We start from the raw sequence: 22,139 nt of genomic DNA on the forward strand, positions 1-22,139 counted from the left end.
TTAAGAAGAACTACAAACCACTGCTCAAGGAAATAAGAGAGGACACAAACAAATGAAAAAACATTCCATGCTCATGGAAAGGAAGAATCAATATTATGAAGATGGCCATACTGCCCAAAGTAATTTACAGATTCAATGCTATCCCCATCAAGCTACCACTGACTTTCTTCTCAGAATTGGAAAAAAACTACTTTAAACTTCATATGCAACCACAAAAGAGCCTGCATAGCCAAGGCAACCCTGGGCAAGAAGAACAAAGCTGGAGGCATCACGCTGACTTCAAACTATATTACAAGGCTACAGTAACCAAAACAGCATTGTACTGGTACCAAAACGGAGATACAGACCAATGGAACAGAACAAAGGCCTCAGAAATAACACCACTCATCTACAACTATCTGATCTTTGACAAACTGGACACAAACAAGCAACGGGGAAAAGATTACCTATTTAATAAATGGTGTTGGGAGAACTGGCTAGCCATATGCAGAAAACTGAAACTGGACCCCTTTCTTATACCTTATACAAAAATCAACTCAAGATGGATCAAAGACTTAATCATAAGACCTAGGACCAAAAAAATCCTAGAAGAAAACATGGGCAATACCATTCAGGACATAGGCATGGGCAAAGACTTCATGTCTAAAACACAAAAAGCAAAGGCAACAAAAGCCAAAATTGACAAATGGGATCTAATTAAACTAAAAAGCTTCTGCACAGCAAAAGAAACTATCATCAGAGTGAACAGGCAACCTACAGAATGGGAGAAAATTTTTGCAATCTAGCCACCTGACAGAGGGCTAATATCCAGAACCTACAAAGAACTTAAACAAATTTACAAGAAAAAAATAAACAATCAGCCAGGTGTGGTGGCTCATGCCTGTAATCCCAGCACTTTGGGAGGCCAAGGCAGGTGGATCGCGAGGTCAGCAGAGCGAGACCATCCTGGCTAATGTGGTGAAACCCCATCTCTACTAAAAATAAAAATAAAAATAAAAATCCATTAAAAAGGGGGCAAAGGATACGAACAGACACTTCTCAAAAGAAGACATTTATGCAGCCAACGGACATATGAAAAAATGCTCATCATCACTGTTCATTAGAGAAATGCAAATCAAAACCACAATGAGATACCATCTCATGCCAGTCAGACTGGTGATCATTAAAAAGTCAGGAAACAACAGATGCTGGAGAGGATGTGGAGAAATAAGAACGCTTTTACACTGTTGGTGGGAGTGTAAATTAGTTCAACCATTGTGGAAGACAGTGTGGTGATTTCTCAATCAGAACTGGAAATACCATTTGACCCAGCAATCTCATTACTGGGCATATACCCAAAGGATTATAAATCATGCTACTCTAAAGACACATGCACACATATGTTTATTGCAGCACTATTCACACTAGCAAAGACTTGGAACCAACCCAAATGTCCATCAATAATAGACTGGATAAATAAACTGTGGCTCAAATACACCATGGAATACTGTGCAGCCATGAAAAAGGATGAGTCCATGTCCTTTGCAGGGACATGGATGAAACTGGAAACCATCATTCTCAGTAAACTATCACAAGAACAGGAAACAAAACACCGCATATTCTCATTCATAAGTGGGAGTTGAACAATGAGAACCATGGACACAGGGAAGGGAACATCACACACTGGTGCCTGTCAGGGGGTGGGGGTCTAGGGGAGGCATAACATTAGGAGAAATACCTAACATAGATGATGGGTTGATGGGTGCAGCAAACCACCATGGCCCATGTATACCTATGTAACAAAATTTCATATTCTGCACATGTACCCCAGAACTTAAAGTATAATTAAATATACATATGTTGTAAATTTTTTTGCAATGTGTTTAAAAGTATAGACTAGTTACAAACTCTTACAAATGAAGATTTTATATATATCTTATATGTACACAAAAGATATATGTGTATGTATATATATATATATATATCTTATATATACATAAAAGATATATGTGTGTGTGCATATATATATATAATGTCTTGGAAACACGAAAGATTTGGCAAAACTGAACCATTTTCCTCCATGGCAATAATCTTCCAGTGTTAACTCTCCCCAGTTCCCACCTAGCCAGCCTCACACTTTTGATACCTGTCTACCCCCATGATTCCAAATGGTAGCAATGAGTACTCATAACCTCTGCACAGCATGATTAATTTCTACATTCTATAATTTTATCGTTATTTTGTATCAACAGTCAGAGTCAAGAGTAATACAACTTATGTTGCAGTAAGTAGAATTCCAAAATGCAACCCCCTGCCCAAGATTTTCTACCCTACTTCCCAGGACTGTGAAAATGATTATGTAAAGAGATTTTGCAAATGTAGTTAGAGGTTACCAATCAGCTGACTCTGAGTTAGTTGAAGGAAAAATTATTCTAGCAGGCCCAATCTAATCACACAAGTCTTTTTAAATTGGAGTATTTATCTGACTGGTAGTAGAAAGTAAAAAGATTCCACATAGGGAAAGGATTTGTTGTGCTGTTGCTGGCTTTGAAGATGAATAGGGGCACTGCAAGGACCAGCCTTGAGGAGCTGAGAGTGACCTTGGCTGAGAGTCAAAAAAGAAAGGGACCTCAATCACTCAGCTGTAAAGAACTGCATTCTGCCAACAGCCTGAATGTCTTTGGAAATGGATTCTTCCTCACAGCCTCCATATAAGAGCCCAGCATTGATGACACTTTGATTTCTGCCTTATGGGACATTAAGGAGGAAGCCCAGCTGAGCTCCCCTAGACTCTTGACCTGCAGAGATGAGCTAATACGTGGGTGTTGGTCTAAGCTGCTAAGTTTATGGTAACGTGTTCTAATAGCAATAGAAAATTGATATATACTGTAGAAGATACAATCGAGAAAAATTTTATCCTTGCTGCCAAGATGGAGAAGTAGAGGAATCTGTCATCTGGGGGAATCTGGCTGTCTCCTAAGAGGTCTCTCTAAGTGGAATCTATTACACAAGAAAATTTGCCGTAATTCAGCATCTGCAGTCTGAGACTTGTAGGCTCAGAAACATGTTTACTTTCAATAAACTTAGATATATCTCAGGGGAAGACTCAAATTATCCAAGCTCTTGGTGCTGAGGTATAAAACCAAAATATCTTGTAATGATTCACAGCGACCTTAGTAAGACCCAAGATAACTAAAATACGAATGGCATCATGACCACCACAGTCATTTGGGAAATAGAATTGTAATTCCACTTACAAACCACACTTTGATTAAGGTTCTTACAGTTAAAACTTTGGGTACAAATTATAAATTCCTTGAATTGAAATTCCTGGGATAAAGCATAAGTACACATTTTTGGTTTTTGATGAATATTGTCAAATTGCTTTCCAGAAAGTGGTACCCATGTATAACCTGTGGTACATAGAGGTGTTGCTTCCAAAATTTTATCAACACTGGTGATCTTTTCCTCAGATTTATGGAAATATAATTGACAAATAAAAGCTGTATATATATATATAAGTGTACAGCATGATGGTTTGATATATGTATACATTGTGAAATGATTACCACAATCAAGCTAATTAACATATCTGTCACCTCATATAGTTACATTCTTTTTATTGTGGTAAGAATACTTAAGATATACTCCTTTAGCAAATTTCAAGCATACAATACATTACTATTAACCATAGCCACCATGCTGTACATGAGGTTTCCAGAGCCTACTCAGCTTATAACAAAGTGTGCACCCTGGAAATGGAAAATTGCTGGTGATTTTTTTAATGTTTGTCAACTTAAAAAGCAAAAATTATATTTTAATCGACAATTTTTAAATTATTGATTGTAACTTTTTTCATATTTGTATTGGTGATTCATCCTTCTTTTTTGAAATGGATATCTATGCCCTTGATCCATGTTTTGATTGGTTTCTCTATATTTTTCATCCTAACTTACTGGAGTATCTCACATGTTAAGAATATTAACACCTAGTAAAGAGAAAAGAAAAAAAGAATATATTTTGCAAGTAGCATTACAAGTTGTTTTTCTCTTTCGTTCATTAATATTTTTAAATAGGGCAGGTTTTTTCTTATTTTTGTAAGAGTAAGTCTTTTATCAATTCCCTTTTTTGGGTGGCGTGCTTAGAAAATGCTGCTCCAGGCTGGGCGCGGTGGCTCACGCCTGTAATCCCAGCACTTTGGAAGGCCAAGCCGGGGGGATCACGAGGTCAGGAGATTGAGACCATCCTGGCTAACACGGTGAAACCCCATCTTTGCTAAAAATACAAAAAATTAGCTGGGCGTGGTGGCGGGCGCCTGTAGTCCCAGCTACTCGGGAGGCTGAGGCAGGAGAATGGGGTGAACCCAGGAGGCGGAGCTTGCAGTGAGCCACGCTCGCACCACTGCACTCGAGTCTGGGCAACAGAGCTAGACTCTGTCTCAAAAAAAAAAAAAAGAAAGAAAGAAAGAAAGAAAGAAAGAAAGAGAGAGAGAGAGAGAGAGAGAGAGAAAGAAAGAAAGAAAGAAAGAAAGAAAGAAAGAAAGAAAGAAAGAAAGAAAGAAAGAAAGAAAGAAAGAAAGAAAAAGAGAAAATGTTGCTCCAAGGTCACACATTCATCCCTCCCTATTTTCCTTTAAAATTTGATGGTTGTATTTTTTCCATTTACCCATTTAATCTATCTGGAATCCATTTTACTATATGATGTTTAATAGGGATATACTCTATTTTTCCAAATTGTTAGCAAACTGTACCAATACTGAGTACAGAATAAATCAAAAGCATCTTAAGATCTAATATCTGAGTTCATGCACACAATATGGTAGACATTTGGCTATTTTTCTCCCAATGGTGGTGCCCCCTTCATTCTCATGTACCCAGTCTCCTCATCCATTCCCTCCCCTTCTACTAAAACTGCTCCCAGGAAAGTGTCTTATAAACTCATTTTCAATAAGGCACTGATACTTATAATTCATTTAAATCCCCAACTATTGAATACCTTTTATTGGTCAGGCTCTAAGCTAGGCTTTCGGGGATATAGGACTAAATCAGCCACAGAGTTTATCTGAGAAAGGCGTATTAGTTTAGTGGTAAGATACACAATCAAAAGCAGTAAGAGTTTGTAGGTGCAACAATAATAATATTTGCAACAATTCATTAAGTACTTGACTATGTGCCTCTCAGTGAGCAAAGCGCTTCGTAATCATCTCATTTCACCTTCAGAACAATGTAAGCACTACATTCTCATGTTTCACCACTCATGCTCCATTTATGAGTGGTTAAAGGAGCAAATGTTTCAGATGTTGAAACTAGCATGGTGCCATTTTTAGTCTAAGCCACAGTCCAATATAGTATATAAAATTGAGCCACACAAATAAATTGCTTGGAGTCAATAGGGTGAGGGAAGACATCTGTAGGTCATCTCTGCTAGTGAGCCCCAACCTTGGATGACCTGCAGATGTTAAATGCTGCATGCAAAACAACTACACAGAATTCAGAGAATAGGGAGTGCTGGATGGGACCCTGACTGTTGATGTACTGGAACCTTTTCTTCAGCTGACTCATATGGTACCATTTAGAAATAAATCCTTTTGTTGGTGGTAGAAAGAATCTCTTGCTTAAGTGGCAAATGATTGGAGCTGTTCATTTTGGGGCTTTAGACCAAAACGCAAAAGACAATGATCAACCTAAATAATCTAAGAAGAAGGGAATGCACAATTCTAAAACTGGGATCTAACTCCTTGATAGCCAGTCAATGATATGATAGGATAAATGTTCTATGAGTTTCGATTGAGTCTGTGGTTCCAGTATGAACCCATTGTTGGATGACTGGATGATCAATGGAACAGCCATAAAAATGGGAAAATAGAAAAAGGAGCAGGGGAAAAATAATGAATGTAGTTTTGTAAATGCTGTTTGTAGGGTATCTGTGGTCACTGAGGTAGAAGTATCTAGGGGGCACAAATAGGAATGGCTTTCAAAAGACAGAGCTGGACTAGAGATGTAAATCATAGTAGTAATATTTATCTAGAATGAACATATAAGGAGAGAAAGAAGGAGTAAGAGTAAACCACAGAAATTGCAAAAATTTAAAGAGCAAAGGAAAGACTCTTTTGAACAGATGGAAACAGACACAACAGAGAAATATTTTTAAAATAATAATGAGAAAAAGGGCTGTCAAGGAAATAAATGGAAATGAAAATTTCAAAAAGGATGAAAATAACCAGAAATTTGTTCTCAAGATATTTTATTATTCATATCTTAAAAATCCAATTTCTACTTTATTACATACAAAAAAATAAATTTCAGGTTGATGAAAAACTAAAATATGAAAGGCACTGATATGGTTTGGCTCTGTGTCTCCACCCAAACCTAATATCAAATTGTAATCCCCACATGTTGGAGGAAGGTCCTGGTGGGAGATGATTGGATTATGGGGGTGGATTTCTTCCTTGCTGTTCTTGTGATAGTGAGTGAGTTCTCACAAGAGCTGATGGTTTTAATGTGTGCCACTACCTGCCCCACTCCTGCCACCATGTAAGATGTACTTTGCTTCCCTTTCACCTTCCGCCATGATTATAAGTTTCCTGAGGCCCCCCAAGCCATGCAGAACTGTGATTCAATTAAACCTCTTTTCTTTATAAATGACCAAATCTCAGGTAGTTTTTCATAGCAGTGTGAAAATGAAGTAATAACAGTCACTACTTAAGAAACTTTAGAAAGAAAACAGCTTTATAAATTGTAGATACGAGATACAAGAAATCACAAGCTACACGGATTAATTGATTTGTCACAATAAACTTTAAAATACATTTTCAAAAAAATAGAAAACAAAAGCATAAATAAAAAGACAAGCCCAAGACTTGGAAAAGATACATTTAATGCATGTATCCAAAAAACTGAGTATTTAAAATATATAAAGAACTCACACACACACACACGCACGCACACAGACACAATCAATAACAAAATAATCAATAGAAAAGTAGTCAAAAGATATGAGCAGAAAATCCATAAGAAAATCTGAATCGCTAATATAAACATTTGAAAAACACTTTAAACTTCAATGAAATGAACAATTTAAGCAATTAGATATTATTTCACACTCATCAGATTGGCCAAACTATAAAACAATGACAGTGCCCACTGCAAAGAGGTAAAGCAGTGTTTCCCAAGCTGGACACTTGTCACTGGGGGCCAGATAATTCTGTAGTGTGGTGGATGTCCCGCACATTGTAGGATGTTTAGCAAATGGTAATTACCAAGATTTTTAGAATGCAGTTTCTCATTTGCCAGGGAAATGACCATAAAATAATTTCCCACTAGATTTTTTTATCTGTTACCTTGCTAGCAAGCAGTCTATTGGGAACATTTTATTAACCCTTTATTAAACTGCTACTTGTTTTGCTTCCATTACCTAGATGAGCAGTATCCAATAGAAATACAACACAAGCCACAGGTGATTTTCTAATAGCTATTTCATTGATAATCAATGAGATTTTACAACAGCTGCATTTCAAATTCTCCCTGACAAGACTACGTGCATAGATCTCTTGAGCCTTGCAAATGTGCTTTGCCTGGTGAATACACATTGTAACCCTTCTGGGTTGCTAATAACCAAGTGGTTTGTATATAGTGGAGCTAACTTAGGGAGGCTGGTTCCAAGACTCATTCATATTCATTATATGAACATCTCTGGAAATGTAAACTTATGTTTATATGATTGTTATCTAGAAATTTAAAAAGAAAGAAAAGGATGTTTAGCAGTATATTCCTTGCCTTTTCCCACTAGATGTCAATAGAATGACCCCACCCCCACTGGTTGTGACAACTTAAAATATCTCTACACATTACCAAATGTCACCTAGAGGGCAAAATCACCCCCCACCTCCATTGAGAAGCACCAGTGTCAAACACTGCTGGTGAAAGTGTAAATTGTTACAATTTTCAGAAGTAAACTGGCAATAACTAGTAAAACTGAAGAGGTACAGAATCTATGATCAAATAAGGTATTTTTAATTCTATAGCTTGGAGAAATCTCACCTAAGTGCTCCAAAAGACATGTCCAAAAATGTTGCAGCATTGATTGACTATTGAAAATTTGAGAACAATCTAAATATTGATCAAGGAGAATAGAGAAACTGTGCGAAATTCTTCAATGCAATACTATGCAAAATAAAACAAAACACAAATAACAACAATAATTATCAACATAGTTAAACTTCACAAACATAACATGAAACGGGAAAATGTTACAGTAGGACAGATAGATGATGCCATTAATGGAAAGCTTGAAAACATGAAATACAATTTCACGTATTGTTTATGGATGCATATACATGTAGTAAGTCACGGTTGATGGCAGGTGATATTCCAAATGCTTTGAAAGGCAAAAGAGAAGAAACAGACATTTTGCTCCAAAGGTCAGTGTAAAAGTGTACACTCCAAAGGTCAGTGTAAAAAGAAGCCACTACATCTCATTCACATTGTTGTGACTGTTGCTGGCCTTGTTGGCATAGAGCAGCAGCCTGGCCTGCAGCTTCTCCAGGCATGCAGCTTCTCTAGGTGCACAGCTTTTCCAGGTCCACAGATCCTCCCTCAGCTTCTCTGAGTACAATGCCAAGTGTGTGTGCTGCTCCATGGCAAAGGGTACCCAGCTTCTTTTACATTACCTTCATCATTGAGGTTGGAGGCAGTGAAATACTGACTTATGTTCCATTTTATTCTCACTCTGCCCCACTTCATGTCTATCTTGTCTTCTTCACTACTGACCTTACTAAACTATAGTAATTTCAGGCCCATGACCAGAGGCAGAGGCAATAGTCTTTCACTTCTTCGACAGCTTCTACAATCATGTAAAACCTAATCTCCATCACACATCCCTTATTTCATATCACTCAAAGTGGTTCTGCTTTCCTGCTGGAACACTAACTGATACAATATGTTTGAATGTTAAATAACATACATAGATTAGCAGTAGCCTCTGGGGATGGAGGGAGGAGAATGGATTAGCTGTGGCTCACCAAGGTCTTCAACATTATTTATATACTAAATTATAAATGTGTCCATAGTTTATTCTTTATGGTAAATTATAAAATTGTATATGTTATAATGAACTTTCATGTGTGAATTTCTTAAGCCAGTTGCTAAGTACCCAATAACTGAATGAACAAATGAGTGAAACTGGGCAATTTACTGAACCTCTCATTTTTTATTTCCTTATCTGCAAAATAATAGGATTAAATTATGTTTATGTGCCATCCAGGTCTAAAAGTTCTTGAGCTCCATTAGTAAAATCTATTGATATATAACTTGTCAAGAAATAAAATACCTGTTTTCAAATATTTGAATGCCATCATGGAAGATGGTGATTTTTTTCTACCCTATATTGTTTTTAAGAGTACTACAAGAAACAATTGCCTACCAATTAAACTTGCCCGCCAAAGGCAGAAGAGAACTTTAAAAGTAATGTGTTCACTCATCCTGGGACAATACAGGCAAAAGACAGATGAGGACTTATCATGGGGATACAGAAGAACTTACCATCTTGGGAAAGTGATAAAGCTGGATGGTCTCTAACATTTACCTAAACTTGAATTGGCTATTTTTTGTACATACATTTTCCATTTCAACTATTAGCTTAGAAGTTTACAAAAGAACAGTCCAGTTTTTTTTTTTCTATTATAACAGATACAGCATTACCATTTGTAATCGTTGATCAAGGCATAAGCAATTTCTTGCTTGTCAATTTGAACATCTAGCCAGGAATAAATAGCACACAGTATGTGTAATGCAATCTTCAAAGCGTTTTATTGGAACAGTTCTTAGACCTCATACAAGGAAATAAAAAAATAAGAAATGTAAATGAATGTGATGTCAGACTGAGGAAGCAAGTCTCTAGAGATCCCTGGAAGTTAGAATGGATTTTAAAATTCATTATGATTGAATTATAAAATAAATGAAAACCAGCAGGGTTAAATATGAGGTTGATGGGAGCAAGAAAAGAAAGTTATTTGGATACCCATGGCAGGGAGCATGCAAGTTCAGGTTCACCTCTAGGGCAAGGAAGAATTTTCTTCAAGGTTCTTCTCTTTCAGTGTTTACTCTGTAGCAGGCACTGTGACTGTGCGAGTCACTTGAAATACAAAGTCTGAGAAAATGGGGTATTGACTGTTCAGAAGCTCATGCTTTTGGAGTGGGGGTTGGGGGGAGCAGACATATGCAACTGAGAGCAAATAATAATAGTAAAGTAATAGCTAAAATCTACTAGACACTAACCATGTGCCATATACTATCCTATGTATTTTACATACATTAGCGCATTTCATTCTCACATCAACCCTATAAGATAGGTACTGTTATTATTCCTGTTTTATAGTTACTAAACATGAGGAACAGATGAGTTAAGGATCTTACTTAGGTCACACAGCTCTTAAGTGGCAGAGCCAGGATTCAGACCGAAGTAGATCTAGATCCAGAGTCTGTGCTCCTGACAAAATAACGTATTGTCTCTTTCAATATTATAATGTTTGAGGGCTAAGAAGTCTGAAGATTGGTACTTCAAAAATCTTTACAAGTATTCTTATTGTTTTAATAATATATTCTTTAATAGCCCTGAAATACAGATTTTTAGTCCTAAGTGGAAATAAGACAGAGACATTGCATAAAATTTAGCACAGATTAAGGCAGAGACATATATTTATCTGATAGTTCAGGCCCCAAGACGCTTATTAATGCCAAACAGGGCCTGTATTAGGCCATTCTTGCATTGCTATAAAGAAATACCTGAGACTGAGTAATTTGTAAAGAAAAGAGGTTTAATTGGCTTACAGTTCTGCAGGCTGTACAAGCACGTCATGGACATTTCCCAACTTCTAAGAAGCAATGCAGACAGAAAGCGAGCACATCACATGGCGGAAGCAGGAGCGAGAGAGAGAGACAGTGGGGAGTGATATGTCACACACTTTTAAACCACCAAATCGCTCAAGAATTCAATCACTATCACAAGAACAGCACCAAAGGGATGGTGCTAAACCATTTATGAGAAATCCAGCCCCATGGTTCACTTACCTCCCACCAGGCCCCACTTCCAACATTGGGGATTACAATTCAACATGAGATTTGGGTGGTGAAAATATCCAAACTGTATCAAGGCCCATGACCTGTTTCCATTTTATGTTGGAAATACTTATTGAATGTCAAAACTATAGCACGCACTTCTATAAAAGAGGGGAGGAGAGACATGAGAGGCTTTTCCTGAACTTAAGAAGCTTAAACCCTAATAGGTGAGATAAGCTAAGTATACAAATAACCACAGTAGAGGGCAGGTTGTGACGAGGGCCTTAAAAGGGGTGCAAGTGTTAGATGAGTTGAGAAAAGGAAATTTTCATTCAGTGAGAGAATCAGGAAAGTCTTTCTGGAGGTGGTGACATCTTGAGTGCTTATGTAGGATTTTGATAGAGGAGGATGAATAAAGGGTTAAAGTATCCTAACAAAGGAAAGAGGAGAATGACAAACAGAAAAGAAACCAAAGAAGCATCCTTAGTAATGATTAATTATGCTGATTGATTGAGCAAAGTTGAAGTTGTGGATGAAAAAGTGGGTTGGGTCACTGTGGAATGGCCCCTAACGAGACAAAACTCAGAACTTTCATGATAAAAGGTCTCGTTTATTGGAGCCAGTTCATATTTATGCCCATGCTAGTTTATCATTTTTCTACCCTTTTTGTTTAATCTTACTTTTATCTCTCTTTTTCTCTCTCTCGCTTTTCTTTCCTTCCTCCTCTTTCTTCTTTCTCTCTTTTTTCTTCCTTTCAGAGCCTAGAGTGCCTAGATAACAGGGTCACTAAATATCTCAATTGAAATCTTGCACGATTACAATGTTTCTTTATTTTTTCTGTAGAACTCACATAAACATCTCTGTGACTAGAGAAAAAAACAAAACTGTAAAAATGTACTTATGCATAATTGTGTAAGATATTAAAATCTGTGCATAACTTAAAATAGTCATCTTATGATTTGATTATTCATTTAATAAATCTTTCCTAGGAACAACTACACACCCACTATACAAAAAGTTCAGAAAATTCTGAAGTGAATAAATAAAAATTCATGCTTTCCAGATGTTCACAAAGTATGGGGTAAATAGGCAACGTGAGTTATACACCATAGAGGTACGACACAGGGCTGTGAAGGAAAGGCCAGCTGCCTGGGTGACCTGTGAGTTCAGAGAAATTTGCCAGGTGGACTAAGGGAAAACAGCCTCTTTGCAAACGGAACAGCTTGTACAGAAACACATGAAGGAAGGCCTAGCTTATTTGAGGAATGGCAAGAAGTAACTGGGGCATAAGATGCAGAAAGGGCCAGGCGCGGTGGCTCACGCCTGTAATCCCAGCACTTTGGGAGGCCGAGGCGGGTGGATCACCTGAGGTCAGAAGTTTGAGACCAACCTGGCCAACATGGTGAAACCCTGTCTCTACTAAAAATACAAAAATTAGCCGGGCATAGTGGTGCATGCCTGTAGTCCCAACTACTCAGGAGGCTGAGGCAGGAGAATGGCATGAACCCAGGAGGCAGAGCTTGCCATGAGCCAAGATAGTGCCACTGCACTCCAGCCTGGGCGACAGAGCAAGACAATGTCAAAAAAAAAAAAAAAAAAAAAAAAAGGAAGGAAGGAAGATAGATGCAGAAAGGAAAGTGACAAGAATGTGACTGTGAATGTAAATTGGAACCAGTTATAAAAGGCCTGGAATAGCCAGTGAAGGATATTGAACTTTGAGCTTGAAGCCATTGAAAGCCAGTGGAGGCAAGGACAGATTTATTTCAGTTTTCAGGTAGATAACTGTGTTGGCAACATAAAGGGTGAGTTGAACTGGGAAAAATGCTATCAGTATAAAGTTAGAAGGTTATTGGAATAGTCCAGACCATAGATAGCAATGTCTAGGATTTTAAAATGCAAATGAACAAATATTTATGTAAAAATAGTAAATGTCATGCAGAGTGCTAAAGAACCAATATCAACAAAAATGTGACCACTGCTCTCAAGAAAATGAATAGCAAGCCTTGAACTAAGCTGTGGGTGATAGGGAATCAAAGTGAAGATTCTAGGATGGGAAAGCAGGGAAAATTTTGAGGTTTCTAGGGTGGTAGAATGGCCTTCTGCAGGTACCACTTACCAAGACAGGGAAAACAGAGGTTAGTCTGGGAGAAAGATGATGGCTTCAGCTCTGCATACATGCCTGCCAAATTTTTAGTGTATAATTGATAAACACTTTTTAAATTAATTAAATTGAGACAGAATTAAGTGGCACAGGTATTCAGTAGAACAGAAAATCCCTTGGGAATATTCAAACATCACTGTTTCCTCAAAATTATCATCTGACCTTTGGAATATCACATTTCAATAATCAGCAGCCTTAGATTTCATCTTATGGTAAAATTTATCAAACAACCAGATGCCAACTTACCACACTCTTTTCACATTATGTTAGAGATTCTCCTTATATAGGTTTCTTTTTCTCCAATAATTCAATGTTCTTCAGTTACCTTTGTATTACTTCCTAACTCCACAATATAAATTGTGTTAATAATGCAAGCAAAATATGGGAACAATGAAAACTAAGGACAAGGGCTCTTGGTATGAAGAAAAGGATAGAGTTAAGTCATTTAAAAGCTAGATCAATTGGTCTTGGGAACCAATGAGAAATACTAGGAGTTGTGGAGAAGAAAGACTAGTATGTTTTCAAAGTTTCTGACTTAGGTGAGCATATTGATGATAGAATTATACATGTAAATAAGGATTATTGAGAAGTATCTTTGGAGGGGGAAGAAAAATAATAAGTTTTAGATTGGGTCATATTGACCTTGAGATTTTTATGGGGCACCATGGTATCTAAGAGACAGAAATATAAGCAACTAAGACATAAATTGAGACAATTTAGGTATTACTTGAAATTTTTGGCTTGGATAAAATTAATGAAGAGCAAGTGTAACAGTGTGTTCAAGAAACAAATTCTGAATAATATAATTGAAAACATAACTGCAAAAAAGGACATCTGAAAAGATTAAGAAGTACATAGAGATGCTGGAAAAGGTAGGAATAAGGAAACCAAGGGAGAGGAAGAGCTTCAGGAAGAAAAGAAAAGCAAACATGGCCTGATGGTCTGAAGCATCAATCAGTCAAAACTAAGAAGGAATTGTTGGGGTTTTTAGCAGTTCAGGCTTTCAAATGGTTTCCACAAAACAGCTGCTGAGAAGCAGTGAAATGAGGTGATGGCGAATCCAGGAGAAAACTGTAGGTGATAAGTTGTAACCTCAAGTAGACACGATTCTTTCAAGAACCTTGGTTAAGAAAGAGGTAAGGAGAGAATGGGAATAGCTCAAGCGGCCTTCAGATTTAATTTTTGGGGAAATAACAAAAGCACTGCTTTGGAAATCAAATGCATTTGTCGCTTTTTCCTTTAGGCCATATATGTAAAGTATACTTTTTTCTGTGCTTATGAAGAAATTTCTGAAGTGAAGATTCCTGAAAAATTTGTGTGTGATCCAACCATCATAATTCCAATTAATATATATCATTATAAAATATCTTCTCACTGATTTCCACTTGATCAAATTTACTAGAACCCTAAAATTATGTTTACCTGGTATTTCATCAACATAATTTGAATTTATTTATTTGAAATATCTGTTAAATGATATCTGTTAATATCATTAAATTAAATTCCCAGAGACACAATACAAACCAAAGCTTACATGCTTACATTTTTGAGCATTTACACTATGACAGGCACTGTTATAAGTGCTATTATCTTATTTATGTTTACCTCTCTTTAGAAGAGCCCATGAAGTAGGTCCTGTTTGTTTTCTCCACTTCACAGAGGCACAGAGGCTTTCCAATATCACACAGCTAATAGGTGGCAGATCTAGATTCAAACCCAGAAGACACAAGAGCCCATGATTTTAACCACCATGCCCCCTTGACTCTTGGTAACAAATTGTGACTATCTTTCCATATAAAGGGATATCTCAGATGATTTTGGGTAATATCTTGTTTCCCTACTTCTGTCTTCACTAACTTCCAGGGCATTATTTCTCCCTCCTGAATTCAACTCAGTAAAAAGGATAGCTAAGTCATTCATGTAATTATACTAGTATTCAGACAAATTCAAATGTGGATATGTTTATCCTTCTGTTTGAGAAGGTTTCTTAGCTACTCCGGCTCACCCTCCAGCTGGGAACTGAGGAAGGATCCAACTGGCATGAAAAGGTCATGGCCATCAGGCCACTGGGCAAGGTATGTAATTGGAAGGTTTCAAAATGGTTTCTGATTGTCAAAGTTAGGACTGAGATCCAGGGGAAGAGCAAAATTTATTTTACATGAAAACCATTCAAGACATTGATACCAAAAAAATTGTGAAGAACAAAACTCTTCCTTCAGACATGGGATCCAAATGTTAAGAAGCCTTCAAAAATGAGAATAAAACTAATGAGGAGCTGCTTCTGTCTCAGCTCACATTAAATGGATGGGTCACAGTTTGCAGTATGATTGCACACATATTTTTTCAATTTTCTTATTATGAGCTAACAGCAACACAAAATAAAATGAAGTTAAAAAATAAATGAAGCTCTCCAGCTAAAACTAGAAAAATATACAAGTAAATGGATGTATGGATATTATGGTAAGGAGAAGGATTCGATAGCTTTCTATACTCCTCATAATTGTAAATGCATAGTGTGGTAAGAAATGTGGGTATTCCTACAACCATTCATAGATACACTATTTGAAGTAATTCATAAACCTGACATCAAATTAGCATTGAACAAGATCTAATCTAAATACAATTAGCCCCTTCCCACAGAGTGTTTAGAATCTAGTAAATAAAGAAAAACATTATATATATATGTAGAGAGAGAGTGAGAGAGAGAAAGAGAGAGAGAGACATGGAGTTTCACTCTTGTCGCCCAGGCTGGAGTGCAATGGCACAATCTCAGCTCACTGCAACCTCTGCCTCCCAGGTTCAAGTGATTCTCCTGCCTCAGCCTCCTGAGTAGCTGGGATTACAGGTGCAAACCACCATGCTTGGCTAATTTTTGTATTTTTAGTAGAGACAGGGTTTTGCAATGTTGGCCAGGCTGGTCTCGAACTCTTGACCTCAGGTGATCCACCCACCTCAGCCTCCCAAAGTGCTGGGATTACAAGTGTCAACCACCCAGCCCAACCAAACATTTAATATTTTTAATGCATAGAACAATATATCTGCTTGGCATGTCTTCACAGTAAACATTTTGGGGGACAAATCTAAATGTACTAATTAGAAAAGAAAAGAAAATACAGGTTATGGGCTTTTAGATGCCTTAGTATAAAAGCTTTAAGTATGCTGTCTCAGTATTCCTCACTGCATGTCTCTCTGGAAGATTATAGTATCACTCCCTATTTGAAAATAGTAAGTAAATAAACTGAGGCTCAGAGTTAAATAACTAGTCTGAGTTCACTGAGCTAGTTAGTAAGTAGCAGAACTGAGATTGGAACCCAGTCGTAACTGATTCAAAATTCGTTCCACCTCAAATGTTCCCTCTGTGAGTAATAAAAATTATGATCTCTCAAAATTTGAATATAATGGGAATATAAAAATTAAATATTAGATATTAAATAGCAAAGTGTTGAACTCAGCTTTCTGAAGTGATTAAAATAGATTTCTGTAATGTTCTTATTTTACATTAAAAGGGAAATAAACTGTAGAATAAAAACTAATTTGTATGTAGAAATAATTTACCCAGAAATAGCCAATGAGAATCACAGCCTAATTATTAAAAGAGAGACATTGATTTTTCAAAAGACTATATTGTCGTAGAGTTTGACTTACACTGAAATAAATGAATATATTTAGTACTTACTGGCATAATATCCATTGATTAGCCTAGCAAAGGAATTTCTAGATAAGAATATTGAAAGAGTAATTCTATTTCTGCCAATGTATACTTCACATAAGATAAATCACATTCTTGATGAAAATTGTATATCAACAAGGATTTGTATTACAAATAACAAAATCCCAACTTGAACTCATTTAAACAATGAATGAAATGTGCTAGCTCACATAATGGAAAATATCTAGAACATAACAACTTTCAGACAGGTTTTATCCAGGAGCTCAAAAAATATCACCGAGAAGTCAATTCTTCAGCATCTCTTCCCTTGGTACTCTGCTTGATGGCTCAGTCTTCCCATAAAGGCTCTCTCAGCTCCCCCTGTAGCAACAGTGTCTTTCACAAATACAAATCTCACAGCCTCACCTCACACTATCGCAGGGGAAAGTGATTGTGTCCTGATGTAGTTTCCATAGAGGAAAGACAAAGCTATTTTTCTTTTCCAAAAACTCTCAAATTATTGTGCATTTTATTAGCCCTGGTTGGACTTCCTGGCCCAATATAATCAGGGAGGATGAAACATGAGTATTCACACGAGCCTCTAAGGTGGCTACCCTGCCACTGGACTAGGCATCTCACTCAAAACACTTAGATTCAGGATTGGGAAGGGCTAGCTTCTCAAAGGACTTGGATACAATTAAGATGGGTGCTTGGTGTCCTTCAAGCTGTCAATGCCCCATACAAATGGAAATATTTCTGGCCAAGACAATAACATGAAGACATGTAATCTCAAGGCTGAAATAATGACTGTAACAATAAAATTAGTGATTACATTTAATAATGGGTACTAATTAATGATTAAGACAGCCACCGAAGTGCTTTACGTGTGTGTGTGTGTGTGTGTGTGTGTGTGTGTGTGTGTGTGTGTGTGTTCGTTTTTTGAGACAGGGCCTAGCTCTGTCACCCAGGCTGGAGTACAGAGGCACAGTCATGGCTCACTGCGGCCTCAACCTCCCAGGCCCAAGCCATCCTCCCACCTCAGCCTCCTGAGTAGCTGGGACTGTAGGCATGCACCACCATGCTCAGCTAATTTTTTGTAGAGATGTGGTTTTGCCATGTTTCCCAGGCTGGTCTCAAACTCCTGGGATCAAGCAATCCAACTGCCTTGGCCTCCCCAGCGCTAGGATTACAGGCGTGAGCCACTGTACTTGGCCTACATGTTTTATTTGATTGACATCTCACACTATCTGATAGAGTTTGGATATTTGTCCCCACACAAATCTCATGTTGAATTGTAATCCCCAATGCTGGACATGAGGCCTGGTCAGAGGTGTTTTGATCATGGGGGCAGATCTCTCATGGCTTGATGCTGTCTTTGTGATAGTTTTAGCAAGATCTGGTCATTTAAAAGTGTGTGGCACCTTCTCACCAGCTCTCTCTCTCTCTTGCTCCTGCTTTTACCAAATGAAGTACCTGCTCCCCCTTCACCTACCACCATGAATAAAAAATCTTTTTGAGAACTCCTCACCCCAGAAGGAGATGCTGGCACTATGTTTCCTATACAGCCTGCAGAACCATGAGCCAATTAAACCTCTTTTCTCATAAATTATTTGGTCTCAGATAGTTATTTATAGCAAGGCAAGAATGGCCTAATACAGAAAATTGGAACCAAGAGGTGGGGCATTGCTATAAAGGTACCTGAAAATGTGAAAGCAGCTTTAGAACTGGGTAACAAGCAGAGGTTGGAAGAGTTTGGAGGGCTCAGAAGAAGACAGGAAGATGAGGGAATGTTTGGAATTTCTTAGAGACTGGTTAAATTGTTGTGGCCAAAATGCTGACAGTGAAATGAGCAGTTGCAGTCCAGGCTGCTGGGGTCTCAGATGGAAATGTGGAACTTACTGGTAACTGAAGCAAAGTTCATAAATGTAATGCCATAGTAAAGAGCCTGACTGCATTGTGCCCCTGCCCTAGGGCTCTGTGGAAGCTGGAACTTCATAGTGATGATTAAGGGTATCTGGCAGAAAAACTTTCTAAGCAGCAAAGTGTTTAAGATGTTGCCTGGCTGCTTCAAACAGCCTATTCTCAGATACAGGAGCAAAGGAATGACTTAAAGTTGGAACTTCTGTTGAAAAGGAAAGCAGAGCATAAAAGTTTAGAGATTTTGCAGCCTGGCCATGTGACAGAGAAAGAAAAAGCTTTCTGGGGGGAGAAATTCAAGCTTCCTGTGTAGCAATCACTTGCTAGAAATATTTGCATAATTAAAAGGGAGCCACATGCTGATAGCCAAGATACCAGGGAAAAAGCCTCAAAGGAATTTCAGAGATCTTCTAGGCAGCCCCTCCCATCACAGTTCCAGAGGCATAGGAGGGGAGAATGGTTTCATGTGCCAGGCCCAGGACCCTGCTGCCCTGCGCAGCCTCAGGACACTGCTCCCTGCATCCCACCCACTCCAGCTCCAGCTGTGGCTCAAAGGGCCCTAGGTTTTGGTTATGTCACCACTCTGGAGACTGCAAGCTGCTGTATGCTTTGGCTGCTTACATGTGGTGTTAGGCCTGCAGGTGTGTAGAGTACAAGAGTGAAAAATGCTTGGCAGCCCCTGCCTAGATTTTGGAGGTTGTATGAAAAATCCCAGGTGCCCAGGCAGGGGCCTGCTTCAGGGTCAGAGTCCCTACAGAAAATCTCTACTAGGGCAGTGAGGGGTGGGGGTGGGAAATGTGGGATTGGAGGCCCCACACAGAGTGGAGGAATGTGAGAAGGAGGCGACCATCCTTCAGACTCCAGAATGGTAAATCCACCAGCAGCTTGCACCCTGCATCTGGAAAAGCCACAGGCACTTAACAACCTGTGAGAGCAGTTGAGGGGGTTTACCCTGCAAAGCCACAGGGGCAGAGCTGCCCAAGGCCTTCAGAGCCCACCTCTTGCACCAGTGTGCCCTGGGTGTGGGACATGGAATCAAAGGATACTATTTCGGAGTTTTAAGATTTAATGACTACCCTGCTGAATTTCAGACTTGTGTGGGGCCTATAGCCCCCTTTCTTTTGGCAAATTTCTCTCTTTTGGAACAGGAATGGTTTACCCAGTGCCTATACCCCCATTGTATCTTGGAAGTAACTAACTTGCTTTTTATTTTACAGGCTCATAGGTGGAAGGGATTTGCTTTGTCTCAGATGAGACTTTGAACATTCGAGTTAACACTGGAATGAGTTAAGACTTTGAGGGATTGATGAGAAAGCATGATTGTATTTTGCAATGTGATAAGGACATGAGATTTGGGAGGGGCCAAGGGTAGAATGATATAGTTTGGGTATTTATCCTCACCCAAATCTCATGTTGAATTGTAATCCCCAATGCTGGGGGTGGGACCTGGTGGGAGGTGTTTTGATGATGGGGGCAGATCCCTCATGGCTGGTGCTTTCTTCGTGATAGGGAGTTCTCACAAGATCTGGTCATTTACAAGTGGTGGCACCTTCCCCCTCTCTCTTTCTTGCTCCTGCTCTCATCATGTGAGATGCTTGCTCCCTCTTCACCTTCCACCATGAGTAAAGGCTTCCTGAGGCCTCCCCAGAAGCAGATACTGGCATGATGTTTCCTGCACAGCCTGAAAAACCATGAGCAAATTAAACCTCTTTTCTTGTAAATTACCTACTCTCAGGTATATCTTTATAGCAATGCAAGAACATCCTAATATACTACCTATGAGATAGATCTTACTAATATAATAAACCCATATTTTACAGATGAGGAAATTGAGACCCAGAACATTCATGTAAAATTTCAGTATGAGATAAAAACCCATGTCACCTCTGTAAATTAAGGAAGGATGCCATCTACAGGACAGAAACTTTGAAGGAAAATTGCTAGATATAACACAGATAAGGCTAGATTCATTCAACAAATATTTACTGAGCACTTACTATATGCAAAAATTAAGTTGGGTGCTAGAGGCACTGTACAAGGTGATAAATTTTTAAAAAGCCAACTGGTGACTCCGACCTGCAAACACAGTGTGCCCACTCCTAGACTTCTCATAGAGCCTCAAACCTACCAAAGCCCTCCTACCTCAGGGCATTTACACGTGCTGTTCTTTCTACTTTCACTCTACCCATGAGTGTCTTCTCTTCACACATCTTCTCATTCTTAATATCCATGTTCCATCATTGTCATCACCTGATACTTAAACTTTCTGTATCTGTCAATTTGCAGATTAGTACCACCACAAATTGAAAGTTGTTAATCCCAGCAGAGCTCTCAATGTTACCTGTGGTCACACTAAGACCCTCTACTCAGTTTCTCTCTTTCTGCAATTGTAATTTCAGTTATTTACCAGTATCCTCAAATCTTTGACTCTACCACCTTCTCTTACTATCAGCAGTCTACTTCTTCATGAGAAAATAGAAATTTTTTAGAGAGTAACTTTCTCATGTGTATTCCTAACTCCAACCATATCTCTATCCAATGTGATAGGTCCCCAGAATCTTATTGTAACCATAAAACTTCCTCCTGAATCCACTTATAAAGATTGACCTTGGACCAACCTCATTCACCCTCTTGAGAAATTAGAATTAAAACTAATAAATTATATATTCAATTTTACATGTTTTCTTTTAAACAGAAAAGATGTCAAAAATTGGAGATGTGTTATGGCTATCTTTCACCCTATGTACATATCATAGATTAAATCAGTATGCTTAGTTAGAGAAGGCCATGGAAATTTAGAAAAAGAGATGAGAGATAAAGGAAAGTTTCTGCATGAGTTTCCTAAGACTTTCCATTTTCTTGGTTCCAGGTCTTTTCTAAGTCTCAGCTATATCCCTACATTTCTTTGGAGGCAGTCCTGTAATCTTATGATTAGGCTTGCTTTGCTAGTATTGGTTTGTTTCTGTCACTTCAACTAAAAATCATAAATACAAAATATTTACTTTGCAATTATTTCTAAAATGTTTTCTCCCCATCTCCACTGCCAGATTCTGGCCCACACCATCATTATCTCTTAGCTGAGTAATTGGAATGGCCTTCTAACTGGTCTCCTTACATGCCCTCGTGCTCCATGCAGTTACTCATCAAGTTGGGTTATTTGGAAATCATTTTATTCTACTATATAAAAGTTTTCAATGGCTTCCCTTTGTTAAAAAGCAAAAGCCTAAACATGGACTACACAACCTTAACATATTATCGACTGGACACAGTGGCTCATGACTGTAATCTCAGCACTGTGGGAGGCTGAGACAGGTGGATCACATGAGGTCAAGAGTTCGAGATCAGTCTGGCCAACATGGTGAAACCCTGTCTCTACTAA

At 38.3% G+C, this 22,139-nt stretch overlaps 1 long non-coding RNA gene and 1 other non-coding gene across 2 annotated transcripts in view; one reads left to right on the forward strand and one right to left on the reverse strand.

The window, feature by feature from the left end:
* Positions 1–22,139, reverse strand: part of LOC124902009 (uncharacterized) — a 66,420-nt gene that overhangs the window by 31,231 nt on the left and 13,050 nt on the right. The window lies entirely within an intron of this gene.
* On the forward strand, positions 7,228–7,349 carry LOC124900266 (small nucleolar RNA SNORA32). Its single transcript, XR_007061204.1, has one exon. It is a non-coding gene; the product is annotated as a small nucleolar RNA SNORA32 (small nucleolar RNA).

This window comes from Homo sapiens, chromosome 8, assembly GCF_000001405.40.
Source record: "Homo sapiens chromosome 8, GRCh38.p14 Primary Assembly".
Classification (NCBI taxonomy): Eukaryota; Metazoa; Chordata; class Mammalia; order Primates; family Hominidae; genus Homo; species Homo sapiens.